The 15,638-nt window shown below is 37.0% G+C and overlaps 1 pseudogene across 1 annotated transcript; it reads left to right on the top strand.

Annotated features, from left to right (window-relative positions):
• The first annotated feature begins 14,186 nt into the window (after positions 1 to 14,186).
• Positions 14,187 to 15,260, top strand: VN1R5 (vomeronasal 1 receptor 5 (gene/pseudogene); annotated as a pseudogene). Its single transcript, NR_160309.1, has one exon. The product of NR_160309.1 is annotated as a vomeronasal 1 receptor 5 (gene/pseudogene), transcript variant non-coding (transcript).
• Positions 15,261 to 15,638: the final 378 nt, after the last annotated feature.

The raw sequence follows: 15,638 nt of genomic DNA on the forward strand, positions 1-15,638 counted from the left end.
AAATCTGTAATGCAGGATGACTCAGAGTCAGACTGTCCTCCTTCCTTAATGGGAAAAGCTGGCACATGCCTGAGCATAAAAAGAGAAAGGGATTTTTGACTTTGAATATGTTTAAGAATATCTGAAAAATTTCTCAGTAAAATCCTTAAATGCAGATTTTTCTTCAACTTAGGTTTTCTGTTTTTTTTTAAAATTTGATTCTTGGGAGACATAAAAGAAAAATATCTGTAATTTTGACTTGGCCTTTTATTTACCTTATTCTTGGTCCTGCCCCAGTTTTCTTCTTTTCTGAAAGCATATTACAGAGAGTATGATGGAATTACCTAATCACAAACTACCAGGTTGACATTTGTGGTAAATCATTTAACTTTATTTTATAAAGAATATTTTATTGATTAAATAAAAATTTGAGTTTTTAGAAGAAGATACATTATAATTCTATCACAATAAAATATTTTGAACAAAAGGAAATTTTAAAAATAATTTTAATTTACTCATCCATTTATCAAGAAAATAAAGCAAAACCAACAGTTTATCACTCATTGTCTTGTGACTTTAGGTAATTAAAAGTAACACTAAAAATATTTCAATAAAATTTAGAGTTGAGATGTCACATTGTTTTCCAGCTAAATATGAATTACTTTTCTAACTGTGAAATCAATTAAGTCACTAGGGAGAAGATATCTCAAGTTATATGAAAGATACAGTAAGAAGTTGGTCACTAATTACAGTGATGAAAAAGGTAAAATATGGTTACTCGTTAAAATTATATTTCTCATGCAGTTTTTGTTTTTTTTTTTTTTTTTCTGAGACAGGATTGTGCTCTGTTGCTTGGGCTGGAGAATAGTGGCATGATCATGGCTCACTGCAGCCTTGACCACCTGGGTTCCAGCAATCCTCCCACCTCAGCTTCCTGAGTAGCTGGGACTACAGGTGTGCATCACCACACCCAACTAATTTTTTAGCTTTTTATAGAGACGGGGGTCTCACTGTGTTGCCCAAGCTAGTCTTGAATTCTTGGGCTCAGGCAATCCTCCCACTTTGGTCTCCCAAAGTTCTGGGATTACAGATGTGAGCCACTATGCCGTACCATCCCATGCATTTTTGAAAATACTAATCACTATGACATCACAAATGGAAAATAATTCTATCACTTTGTTTTCTTCTCACAACATCCTTAGAGCATTTTGAATTGAATAAAGTGCCCAATATTTCAAAGAATGTAGTGAGAAACAAATGAGAAAGAAGACATAGACCTTTATTTTGTGGAGAAATAAACATAAGAACCATTATGGGATTCATTTGGTATAAATTTATTATGCAGAAGAAACTATAAATTGAGTATTCAAAAATAATTGAATACATTCACATTTTTAGTCTACCTCACATTCAGGTTTTAAAGTAACAGGAGTGTAAAAAGATATCAATAATATAAATAAATAAAAATCTAGAATCATTTCTAGAAAAATTATTGCTGAAGTGAGCTTTTGTCTAAAGTCTACTATTCTTTCCAAAAGCAGAGGGGGTTAAAATAACAAAAACCAAAAACAAATAAAGCCTACTGAATCTAAATTAACTAAAGTATTAGATATTATTAGATTCTGAGCATTATTATAAGTTATTCTGTACCTTAAGAGAAAATCCTGCCTCTTGCATGTGCCTGGGTAGACCCTAAATAGTCAGTCACTGAAATTATTGTCCTAGACCTACATTTCTTTCCCGCTGCCTCACTGTCGCTCTTTCTCAGACTGAAAAACTAAGCAACACTTACCAAGCAGGGTTTTGAGAGTGTGTTTTTCCATGTGAGGACAGCCACGCTGCTGTTATATAAAAAGAATCTCATTACCTCATCTCTCCCCCTCTCCCCGGATGAGCAATTTTCCTATTACCTTTGAAATACGGCAATGTCTGGTTGTTTTGGTAAGAAGCAGTCTCAAAAGGGAAAAAGAGGTACTTACTTTACTTACCAAGTAAAGCAAAGTAAATAGCGACACCTCCTCAGTTGAACACTTTTTAATGTCGTAATCCACAATGTGTAAACCTGGGGTGTTCATGTGATTATATCACACTAAGCCAAACTAAATCCCCACTTCCACTTGACCTAGCATGTATATCAGTGTCATGTAGGATAAGCTCGAACACATTGAGAACTGAAAATTGGAATATAAACTAATTACTTTTTTTGTTTATTTGTTTGGTTTTTCTTGAGATGCAGTTTCGCTCTCATCGCCCAGGCTGGAGCGCAGTGGCGCCATCTCGGCTCACCACAACCTCCACCTCCCGGGTTCACGTGATTCTCCTGCCTCAGCCTTCCCGAGTAGCTGGATCACAGGCAAGCGCAACCATGCCCGGCTAATTTTGTATTTTTTTAGTAGAGACGGGGTTTCTCCATGTTGGTCAGGCTGGTCTCAACTCCCGACCTGAGGTGATCCGCCCGCCTCGGCCTCCCAAAGTGCTGGGATTGCAGGCGTGAGCCACCGGGCCCGGCCAACTTACTACTTTTAACTTGTCTTTCTTTACTGAAATGGTGAAGGCAAGGAGACACTAGTAGCAATGAGCAGGCCATATATTCAGATTTCTGAAAAACTATTTTATTAAGATTTGACTGACATATCAAAAGTTGTACATATTTAAGGGTAAGTATATGCTACAAAACCATAACCACCATCATGGCCATAAACATATACATCACTTCCCAAAGTTACCTTCTACATCCTTTATTATTGCTGTTCTTTTTGTTTGCTTGGTTGGTTTTGTGTTATTTTTTATGAACATTTAACATAAGATCTACCCTCTTAGCAAATTGAAGGTATACAGTACAGTTTTGTTAACTATAGACACCAAGTTATATATCTTGAGAATTTATTTATCTTGCATAACTATAACTTTGTACAATTTAACCATTACTTCTTCATTTCCTCCTCCATCCAGCCCTTGACAGCCATCATTCTATTCTCAACTTCTGTGAGTCCATTTTAGATCCTTCATATATAGGTGAGATTATGCAGTATGTGTCTTTCCCTTACAGCCAGATTTTGATTTCTAAATACCTATTTCCATATAAGCCTAACCATGATTCTTTGGTCTTGAGTAGGAAATATATAAAATGGGCCTTTGTCAAAAAGCAAGAAAGCACTACAAGATGAGTGAGATTTCATCAAAAAGATAGACAAGACAGAATTTAGGGGCTTCCAAGGGTAAATTGGGGATGACATTTTTGTTATTGTTTGTTTGTTTTTTTTGAGACAGAATCTCACTCTGTTGCCCTGGCTGGAGTGCAGTGGTGCCATCTTGGCTCACTGCAACCACCGCCTCCCAGGTTTGAGTGATTCTCCTGCCTCAGTCTCCCAAGTAGCTGGGATTACAGGTGTGCACCACCACGCCCAGCTGATTTTTGTATTTATTTATTTATTTGTAGAGATGGGGTTTCACCATGTTGTTCAGGCTGGTCTCAAACTCCTGGTCTCAAGTGATCTTCCCACCTTGGCCTCCCAAAGTGCTGGAATTACAGGCATAAACCATCGTGCCCAGCCCAATCTGGGGACATTTGGACATCAAAATAAATATTGACTAGAATTAATGCAGCTGAGTGCCATGGTGCATGCCTGTAGTCCCAGGTACTTGGGAGGCTGAGGCAGGTGGATCACTTGAGCCCAAAAATTTGAGGCCAGCCTGTGCATCATAGCAAAGCCTAGTCGAAAAAAAGAACTAATGCTTTCCATATATAAATGTTCATTATCCCACTCTCAGTGTTACTTAAAAAAGAGTATGAATATTAATATTGTGTGTGTAATAACATAGATGAAAAGCAAATGTCAAACTCACCCTATATACCAGTCAATCTTAAAAATGTCCAATCAATAATGCTACCCAGTCTCCGAATACAGTGTAAGATTTCCCTGGGCAAGGAGGCAAGCCCAAGACCATTCTTATTTCTGGAGTACCTCCTTGCCCATTTCTAGTGGCTGAGCAATAATTCCACCCAATTTCTGAGCCTTGCCCAACTGCAAGATCCAAAGAGTAATACCACTCAGCCTGGAGCCACAGCCTGAGACCCTCCTTTATAAAGGTGACAGCAGAGCCCAGTCCACAGCTCCTCCTGACTGAAGAGCCCAGCTACTGATTTCACCAGACCTCACAGCCCAGCCAGAAGCTTTAGCTGATCTCAGAGCACAGGCCGCAACCCAGCCCAAAGAGAGAATGTGACAGCAACCTCCTCCTGTCCATGGTCACTGCCATTTGAGCCATCCAGAACCCAGGTTAGAATAAACAGTAAAGGACTAGTCCCATGAAAGAACACATGGGAAGACTGGGAGATGTGGCCATGGTTTTAAAATGACAGACACCAACACAAGGACACAAAGATTATGTAGAATCAGTAAAATATGACACTACCAAAAGAAACTAATAAAGGTCCAATAATAGATTGTTTAAAAATTAAGATCTATGAACTAAGAATGGAATCCCTTAAAGAAGTTCACTGAGTGATTAAAAAAAAGAGAAAAGAAAACTAAATGGAATTAGGAAAATATGACACAAAGAAAAGGAGAAGATTGAAAAAATAAATAGAAACAATAAAACAAATAGAAATCCTAGAAAGGAAGAATAAGATGACAGAAGTAAAAAATTCAATAGAAACCTCCAATAGCAGACTTGATTAAACAAAAGAAATAATCCATGAGCTTGAAGAAAGAACATTTGAATTTATCTAATGAGAGAATCAAAAAGCAAAAAGAATAAAAATGAATGAAGAAAACCTACAGGATCTATAGTATACTATCAAGAGAGCTAATACTTGCATAATAGGAGTTCAGAAGGAAAAGAGAAAGAGAGAAATAAACAAAAAGCTTACTTTTAAAAATTATGGGCCAGACAGGGTGGTTCATGCCTATAATCCAAGCACTTAGGGATGCTGAGGCATGAGGACCATCCAAGATCAGTAGTTCCAGAGCAGCCTGGGCAACTCCAAAAATATATTTTTAATAAAAATTTTGATAAATTTATATCATTATAATATATATTGTTAAAAATTTATTAAAATAATAACTATATATTATATTATTTTATAAGTAATGTAAATTTTAAATAAGATATTCTAATAAATTTAATTTTTGTCACTACAAAAAATAAATTAAAAAAAAATTTTTTAAGATGGTTAAGGCCAGATGCAGAGGCTCATGCACTTTGGGACACTGAGGTGGGAGGAATGCTTGAGCCCAAAAGTTAGAGATTGGCATAGGCAATATAGTGAAAGCCATCTATAAAAAAATTTAAAAATTAGCCAGCCATAGTGGTGCATGCCTGTAGTCCCAGCTACTTGGGGGGCTGAGGTGGGAGAATTGCTTGAGCCCAGGAGGTCAAGGCAGCAGTGACTTATGATTGTGCCACTGTACTCCAGCCTGGGGGACAAAGCAAGGCCCTTCCTTGAAAAAAAAAAGAAATTATGGTTAAAAATTTCTGAATATGGGAAAAGATATGAGCATCTAGGCATAAGAATCTCAGTGATATTCAATTAAACTCAAGCCAAAGAATAGCTCACCTAGAAGTATTAAGAAAAATCTCTCAAAATCAAAGAAAAAAAGGAAATTCTGATATCACCATGATGTAAAAAATATCACATACATGGGAGCCCCCAGTGTAGTTATCAATGAATTTTTTTACCATTTTTAATTTTTGTGGGTACATAATAGGTGTATATATTTATGGGGAACATAAGATGTTTTGTACAGGCATGCAATGCATAATAATCATATCATGGAGAATGGAGTAGCCATCCTGTCAAAAATTTATCCTTTGTGTTACAAATAATCCAATTATACTATTTTAGTTAGTTTTAAATGCACATTTAAATTATTATTGCCGATAGTCACCCTGTTGTGCCATGTAAGAGTAGGTCTTATTCATTCTTTCTAACTATTTTTTGTACCCATTATCTACCCCTACTTCCCTCCCAACCCCTCACTACCCTTCCCAGCTTCTGATAACCATCCTTCTACTCTCTATCTTCATGAGTTTAATTGTCTTCATTTTTAGATCCCACAAATAAGTGAGAATGTACATTGTCTTTCTGTGCCTGGATCATTTCACTTAATATAATGATCTCCAGTTCCATCCATGTTGTTGCAAAGGACAAGATCTTATTCTTATTCTTTTTGAAATCATCATTCTCAGTAAACTATCGCAAGGACAAAAAACCAAACACCGCGTGTTCTCACTCATAGGCGGGAATTGAACAATGAGAACACATGGACACAGGAAGGGGAACATCACACTCTGGGGACTGTTGTGGGGTGGGCAGAGTGGGGAGGGATAGCATTAGGAGATATACCTAATGCTAAATGACGAGTTAATGGGTGCAGTATGCCAGCATGGCACATGTATACATATGTAACTAACCTGCACATTGTCCACACGTACTCTAAAACTTAAAGTATAATAATAAAAAAATTTTTTAAAAAAGATCTTATTCTTTTTGATGGCTGAATAGTGCTCCATTGTGTATATGTACCACATTTTCTTTATCCATTCATCTGTTGATGGACATTTAGGTTGCTTCCAAATCTTGACTATTGTTAAAGGGCTGCAACAAACATGGGACTGAAGATATCCCTTTGATATCTGACTTCCTTTCAGTGGGACGGCTGGATCACATGTTAGCTCAGTTTGTAGTTTTTTTTGAAGAACCTTCAAACCATTCTCCATAATGGTTGTACAAATTTATATTCCCACTGGAGTGTACAAGGGTTCCCTTTTCTCATGCCCTTGCCAGCATTTTGTATTGCCTGTCTTTTGGATATATACCATTTTAATGGGAGTGAGATGATATCTTACTGTAGTTTTGTCTTCCATTTCTCTGATAATCAATGATGTTGAGCACCTTTTCTTTTCTTTTTCTTTTTTTTTTTTTGTTTGAGACAGAGTCTTGCTCTCTCACCCAGGCTGGAGTGCAGTGGGGCAATCTTGGCTCACTGCAAGCTCCGCCTCCCGGGTTCATGCCATTCTCCTGCCTCAGCCTCCCAAGTAGCTGGGACTACAGGCGCCCGCCACCACGCCCAGCTAATTTTTTGTATTTTTAGGAGAGACGGGGTTTCACCATGTTAGCCACGATGGTCTCGATCTCCTGACCTGGTGATCTGCCCACCTTGGCCTCCCAAAGTGCTGGGATTACAGGCGTGAGCCACCGCGCCCGGCCAAGCACCTTTTCATATGCTTATTTTCCATTTGTATGTCTTCTTTTGAGAAATGGTTATTCAACTCTTTTGCCCATCTTTTGATCAAATTATTAGTTTTTTTTTGTATAGAGTTGTTTGAGCTCCTTATAGATTACGGTTACTAACTCCTTGTCAGATAGGTGGTTTGCAAATATTTTTTCCTATTCTGTGGGTTGTCTCTTAACTTTGTTGATTGTATTTGCTGTGCAGAAACTTTTTAACTTGATGTGATCTCATTTGTCTATTTTTGCTTTGGTTACCTGTGCTAGTGGGGTATTGCTCAAAACATTTTTGCCCAGATCAATGTCCTGGAGATTTTCTCCAGTATTTTCTGGTAGTTGTTTCACGGTTTAATGTCTTAGATTTAAGTCTTTAGTCCATTTTCATTTTATTTTTATATATGGTGAAGGAGAGGGGTCTAGTTCCATTCTTCTGCATATGGATATCCAGTTTTCTCAGCACCATTTAATGAAGAGACAGTCTTTTCCCCCAGTGTATATGTATTCTTGGCATGTTTGTTGAAAATGAGTTTACTGTAGGTATGTGGAATTATTTCTGAGTTCTCTATTCTGTTCTATTGGTCTATGTGTCTACCTTTATGCCAGTGCCACGCTGTTTTTGGTTATTACAGCTCTGTAGTGTAACATGAAGTCAGGTAACGTGGTTCCTCCAGTTTTGTTCTTCTCGTTCAGGATACTTTTGGCTATTCCGGATCTTTTGTGGTTTCATATAAGTTTCAGGATTGTTTTTTCTATTTCTGTATAGCATTTCATTGGTATTTTGACAGGGATTGCATTTTATTTGTAGATTGCTTTGGGTAGTATAAACATTTTAACAGTATTGTTTCTTCCAATACATGAACATGAAATATCTTTCCATTTTTTGGTGTCCTCTTCAATTTCTTTCATCAGTGTTTTACAGTTTTTATTATACAGATCTTTCACTTTTTTGGTTAATTCCAGGTATTTAACTTTATTTCTGGCTGCTGTATATGGGATTCCTATTTTTTATTTCTTTTTCAAATTGTTCACTGTTGGCATAAAGAAGTGCTACTCATTTTTTATTTTATTTTATTTTTTTTGGAGACAGAGCCTTGCTCTGTCGCCCACGATGGAGTGCAGTGGCGCGATCTCGGCTCATGGCAAGCTCCACCTCCCGGGTTCACGCCATTCTGCTGTCTTAGACTCCCGAGTAGCTGGGACTGCAGGCACCCGCCACCACGCTCAGCTAATTTTTTTGTATTTTTAGTAGAGATGGGGTTTCACCGTGTTAGCCAGGATGGTCTCGATCTCCTGACCTTGTGATCCACCCACCTCGGCCTCCCAAAGTGCTGGGATTACAGGCATGAGCCACCGTGCCCAGCCATAGAAATGCTACTGATTTTTGTATGCTGATTTTGTATTCTGCAACTTTACTGCATTTACCAGTTATAATAACTTTTTAGTGAAGTCTTTATGTTTTGCCAAACATAAGATTATATCATCTGCAAAAAGGATAATTTGATTTCTTCCTTTCCAATTTGAATGCCCTTTATTTCCTTCTTTTGTCTGATTGTTCTAGCTAGAGCTTCCAATACCATATTGAATAACAGTGGTGAAAGTGGGCATCCTTGTTGTGTTCCAGATCTTAGAGGAAAAGCTTTCAGTTATTCTCCATTTGGTATATTAGCTGTGAGTCTGTCACATATGGCTTTTATTACGTTCTTCCTTCTATACCCAGTTTTTTGAAAGTTATGAAGGAATGTTAAATTTTGTCAAATGCTTTCTAGTATCAATTGAAATAATTATGTTTTCCTTCATTGTGTTGATATGATGTATCACATTGATTGATTTGCATATATTGGACCATCCTGGCATCCTAGGGAATAATACCACTTGATCATGATGAATTATCTTTCTAATGTATTGTTGTATTCAGTTTGCTAGCATTTTGTCGAAGGTTTTTGCGTCAATAATCATCAGAGATATTGGCCTGCAGTTTTCTTTTTTGATGTGTCTTTGGTTTTTCTATCAGTGTAATACTGGCCTCGTAGAATGAGTTTGGGAGTATTCCCACCTGCTCTATTGTTTGAAATAGGATTTGGGTAGGATTGGTATTAGTTCTTCTTTAAATGGTAGAATTCAGCAGTGAAGCCATTGGGTTCCAGGCTTTTCTTTACTGGGAGGCTTTTTATAACGACTTTGATTTTGTTACTTGTTATTGGTCTGTTCAGGTTTTGGATTTCTTCATCATTCAATCTTGGTAGGCAGTATGTGTCTATGAATTTGTCCATTTCTCTAAATTTTCCAATTTATTGGCATATAGTTTCTCATAGTAGCCACTAATGATCCTTTGAATTTTGCAAATTATTTGTAATGTCTCCTTTTTCATGTCTGATTTTATTTATTTATATAGTCTCTCTTTTTTTTTCTTAGTTTGTCTGGCTAAATGTCTGTCATTTTGTTTGACTTTTCAAAAGACAACATTTTTGTTCATCTTTTGTATTGTATTAATTATTTCAATTTTAATTATTTCTGCTCTGATCTTTGTTTTCTCTTTCACTAATTTGGGATTTGGTTTGTTCCTGCTTTTCTAGTTCTTTAAGATCTATCATTAAATTTTTTATTAAAAGTTTTCCTTCTCTTTTCTTACAGTCACTTACAGCTATAAGCTTCCCTCTTAGCACTGCTTCTGTTGTATCCCATAGGTTTTGGTATGTTGTGTTTCCATTATTATTTGTCTCAAGAAATTTTTCAATATTCTTCACAATTTCTTTTTTGACCCACTGTCATTCCGGAGCATATTGTTCATTTTCCACGTATTTGTATAGTTTTCAAAATTCTACTTGTTTTATTCCATTGTGGTCAGAGAAGATGCTTAACATTATCTCAACTCTTCTGAATGTTTTAAGACTTGTTTTGTGACTTAACATATGGCCTATCCTTGAGAATGATCCATGTGCTGAGCAAACGAATGTGTATTCTGCAGCCAATGGATAAAATGTTCTGCAAATATGTGTTAGGTCCTCTTGGTCTACAGTGCAAATTGAGTCTGATTTTTTGGTTGATTTCTGTATGGAAGATCTGTCTAATAATGAAAGTGGGGTGTCGAAATCCCTATTATTGTAGTATTGTCTGTCTCTCTCTTTTGGTCTAATAACGTTTGCTGTATATATCTGGGTGCTCCAGTGTTGGGTGCATATGTATTTAAAATTGTTACATCCTCTTGCTGAATTGGTCTTTTATCATAATACAGTGAACTTCTTTGTCTTTTATAGTTTTTATTTTGAAGTTCTTTGAAATTTAGGGTATTTTTATTTTATTTGAAATGTCCTAAAGATATCATGTAGAAAAAGAAAAGTAGCAGGATTATTTTAATTTTGTCACATAATAGTGCTTGGTTCTTTTTAATTGCATAGGGTAATACATTTTAACAGATGACTATCTTGTCATCTTTTTAATCACTGTAATTAGACAATGCCTTTTTAATATATCTGACATATATCTGGAACTGTCATCTTTTGCTTGGTGATTTAGTTGATTTTACACTTAGAAATGTGACTCATATTTTATTAGAAGATAATATAAAGCCTCATTTTTGTATCTTATTAAAAATTCTTTCAGTTTTACTGTTTTAATTATCCAAAGTCTCAAGATGTGAGTGAGAACATATTTTATAGCAGTCTCAGTTAATTGTATTAATAGATAAGAGTAAATAGTTCAAATGTTTTCTACCTCTTGTTAAAAACACTTTATCAGTAAATTTATAATGCACTTTCTTTCAAAGTCTCAAATTATAATTCATTCATCAAAAATGCAGTTCACAAAAAAGTCAGATAATTTGCCACAAATGACAACGAGTGGTTTACGATATGTCCATCATATTCTGTATAATTAGTTGCTTTCAAAGGATAATAAAATTATAGTAGGACCATAAGTAAGATGAATAAAAGAACAAAGTCAATATGGCAAAGATTTGTCTTTCCTGTCTCCCAGGAAGTGAAGCATAAAATCTCAGGAAATCTGAATAGGAGAAAATCTACATTTAAAGCCATGCATGGATAAAATTTCAGAGCCTCCTTATACTTATTAAAAGTGGAAAAAGTCCTCCTTCTTTCCCTGAAAATGTGTGCCGTCTGATCACATTAAGGATATAATTTGGATGTCTGTCCCCTCAATATCTCATGTTGAAATGTGCTTCCTAGTGTTGGAGGTGGGGCTTGGTGAGAGGTGTTTTGGTCATGGGGGCCGATTCCTCATGAATAGCTTGGTGCCCTTCCTATGGTAATCAGTTCATATGAGACCTGGTTGTTAGAGTCTGGGACCTCCTCCCTCACTTGTTTTCTCTCTCACTCATGTGGCATGCCTGCTCCCCTTCCCCTTTCAGCGTGATTGGAAGCTTCCTGAGGCCTCACCAGAAGCAGATGCTGGCACTATGCTTCTTGTACAGCCTGCATAACTGTGAGCCAAAATAAACCTCTTTCCTTTATAAATTACTCAGCTTCAGGTTTTCCTTTATAGTAACACAAAATGAACTAATACAAGGACAGATTGAATTTAGAATGAACCTGAGACCTGGACTGTAGATTTTGAATAGTTCGTTTTCCTTCAGCTGACAGTTCCAAGGCCCTGAATGTGAAAAGGGGAATGTATTCTATGCCCTTTCACTAACCTCGGGCGCAAACAAAGTCAGGGCATAAACTTTGCAAATTGTTTAAACAACAGAAGTCTTACTTATTTAAAAAATGTAAATTGACGGTTTAAAATTCTATATGTTTATAGTGTCTAAAGTGATGTTATAATTTATTAAGACAATGTGGAAAATTAAATCAAGCTAATTAACATGTTCATCACCTCAAATATTTTCATTTTTATGGTGAGAGCATGTTAAATTTACTCAGTAATTTTGAATTTTACAATGCATTATTAACCATATTTACTACAGTGTGCAATAAATCTCATTGTAAAAAAACCTTATTCCCCCAATCTAACTGAGATTTTGTGCCCTTTGACTGTCATCTTTCCTTTCCCCATGTACCCCAGCTTCTATAGCCATGGTCCTACCATCTGTTTCTATGAGTTTAATTGTTCTAGATTCTACATTTTGTGAGAACATAAAGTATTTGTCTTTCGTGCCTGGCTTATTTCACTTAGCACGATGTCCTCCAGGTTCATCCGTATTGTTATAAATGACAGAGTTTCCTTGTATTTTAAGGCTGAATAGTACTCCATTTTTTATGTACACCACATTTTCTTTATCCATTTGTCTGTTGATAGACACTTAGGTTGATTTCATAACTTGACTATGGTGAATAGTTCTGTAATGAACATGGGAGGGATTTCAAATCTTTTAGGTAAATGCTGAAATAGATAGTAATTTTATTTTTAGTTTTGTATGTATGGACATTTAAACCTCCATTCTATTTTCTGTAATTGTTGTACTGATCTACATTCCTACCAACAGTCTAACCTGTTCCTTTTCTTCCCATCCTTCCTAACACTTGCTCTCATAATTTTTGTAGTGATCAGGAAAATAGAGAAGTTTGAAATGTGAGTTTCCCATTAGAATTACATTCTATTCATGGTAGAACTTCTCCAATTTATTTTCCATCTCCTTCCTCCTACTTCATGTCTACAATGACATAGATGCCTTGAATTATAAACATTCTAGTAACAGGATAGAACTGTGAACTAAACCGTATATCCAATTCACTTGCCAAAGAAGTGATAGTCTGCGCCATGGTTTTGGAAATTAGTTCTCATTCATGAATTCCAAAGTTTCCTAATAATCTTTTTTTTTTTTTTTTGAGATGGAGTCTTGCTCCGTCGCCCAGGCTGGAGTGCAGTGGCGCGATCTCAGCTCACTGCAAGCTCCGCCTCCTGTGTTCATGCCATTCTCCTGCCTCAGCCTCCCGAGTAGCTGGGACTACAGGCGCCTGCCACCACGCCCGGCTAATTTTTTGTATTTTTAGTAGAGACAGGGTTTCACCGTGTTAGCAAGGATGGTCTCGATCTCCTGACTTCGTGATCTGCCCACCTCAGCCTCCCAAAGTGCTGGGATTACAGGTGTGATCCCAGCCCCTAATAACTGCACCCAGCCCCTAATAACCTTTTTTAATCTTAGTGAAGTTGTATGTTTCATACACAAATTTTGTCACATGGCCTATGATAACAGAGTTATAAATTAAGTATATGCAAAGTTATGCATTGTGTAGAAATAAAATAATAATGCAATATTCATTTATAGTGATTTTGACTCCTCAAAATATTTATTATATATAATATTGATTTTGTAACTATAACATTAATATTCTATTGGTGCAACTTGTTAATTAATAAATATAAATAAAGTAATGTAAAAAATATACACACACACAAGCACATGTGTACACACACACGAGGGGTAAATGGCTAAGTACTTTAATTTTACTTAGACGTGCTCATCCCTGTAATCCTAGCACTTTGGGAGACTGAGGCAGGAGGATCACTTGAGCTCAGGAGTTTGAGACCAGCCTGGGTAACATAGTGAGACCTCATCTCTACTTAAAAAAATAACTGATAATAAATAAATAAAATAAGAATAAAGAATTACATGATTGAGTTGTATCTTGGATGGTGAGAAATAAATGATTCAGATTTAAGCTATAGGCCAGGTGCAGTGGCTCATGCCTGTAATCCCAGCACTTTGGGAGGCCGAGGCAGGTGGATCACCTGAGGTCAGGTGTTCAAGACCAGCCTGGCCAACATGGTGAAACCCCATCTCTACTAAAAATACAAAATTACCTGAGTATGGCAGCACATGCTTGTAATCCCAGCTACTCAGAAGGCCGAGGCCAGAGAATCACTTGAACCCAGGAGGCAGAGGTTGCAGTGAGCCAAGCTTGCACCACTGCACTCCAGCCTGGGTGACAAAGAGAGACTCTGTCTCAAAAATAAAATAAAATAAAGATTTAATCTATATTTGTAGTTTAGAAACTAATGATTCCAGATCATAGAGATGTTGAAATTGGTTATTATTGAGAACATGGCAGAAATTATGCTATTCTCATTAGATCTCTTGCTTTTCTCCACAGATATCCTTTGCTTTAATTTTCCTTCTAAGATGATCAAACTTCCTGGTTTTATTACCATATAAATCTTCTTTTATCCACAAGCCAGCTTTGGAATTTCAGCAAACACCATCCTTCTTCTTTTCCACATCTTCACCTTTGTTTTCAGTCACAGGTCTAAGTCCATTGACATGATAATTAGTCACCTGTCTCTCATCCACATACTGCTGCTCTTCACCCAGGCAATATTGGTGTCCTTAGACTTCTTTGGTTCACAGAATACTCAGGATGATCTTAGGTATAAGGTCATTGTCTTTTTAAACAAGGTGATGAGGGGCCTCTCCATCTGCACCCCCTGCCTCCTGAGTGTGCTCCAGGCCATCATCAGCCCCAGCATCTTCTCCTTGGCAAAGCTCAAACATCCTTCTGCAAGTCACATCTTAGGATTCTTCCTTTTCTCATGGGTCCTCAACATGTTCATTGGTGTAATCTTCTGCTGTACACTGCGGCTACCCCCAGTGAAACGGGGCCAGTCTTCTGTTTGTCATACAGCACTGTTCCTTTTTGCCCATGAGCTACACCCACAGGAGACTGTTTTTCACACTAATGACTTTGAGGGATGTCACCTTTATAGGGTTCATGGTCCTCTCAAGAGGCTACATGGTGATTATTTTATACAGACAATAAGAGGCTATCTCAGTGCCTTCACACAGCCAGCCTGTCCCCGAGTCTCACCAGTGAAAAGAGCCTCCCAGGCTATCTTACTGCTGGTGAGTTTTGTCTTCACATACTGGGTGGACTTTACGTTCTCATTTTCAGGAGGTGTGACATGGATAAATGATTCTCTGCTAGTGTGGCTCCAGGTTATTGTGGCCAATAGCTATGCCGCAATTAGTCCTTTGATGCTAATTTATGCTGATAACCAAATATTCAAGACTCTGCAAATGTTATGGTTTAAATATTTGTCTCCTCCAAAGCTCATGTTGAAATTTAATCGCCAATGTGGCAGTACTAAGAAGTGATGAGAGGTTAATCCATTCATGAACTCATGAATTAATGGGTTGTCATGAGAATGGGACTGGTGGCTTTAGAAGACGAGGAAGAGAGACCACTCAGCCTCCTTGCCATATGATGCCGTCTGCTGCCTCAGGACACTACAGAATTCCCACCAGCAAGAAGGCTCTGATCATCTGGTGAGATATTGGACCTTCCATAACTGTAATAAGCAAATTCCTTTTCATTAGAAATTGCCCAGTTTCAGGCATTGTGTTATAAGCAACAGTAAATGGACTAAGATCTTCTTACTAAGTTGTCAGAAAATAAGAATAAATGTTTAAAAAGAAGTGATGAAAATTAAGACTTAAAAATGAAATTGGCCATCACCTAGGGTTTTTAAATGT

This window comes from Homo sapiens, chromosome 1, assembly GCF_000001405.40.
Source record: "Homo sapiens chromosome 1, GRCh38.p14 Primary Assembly".
In the NCBI taxonomy this organism is placed as follows: Eukaryota; Metazoa; Chordata; class Mammalia; order Primates; family Hominidae; genus Homo; species Homo sapiens.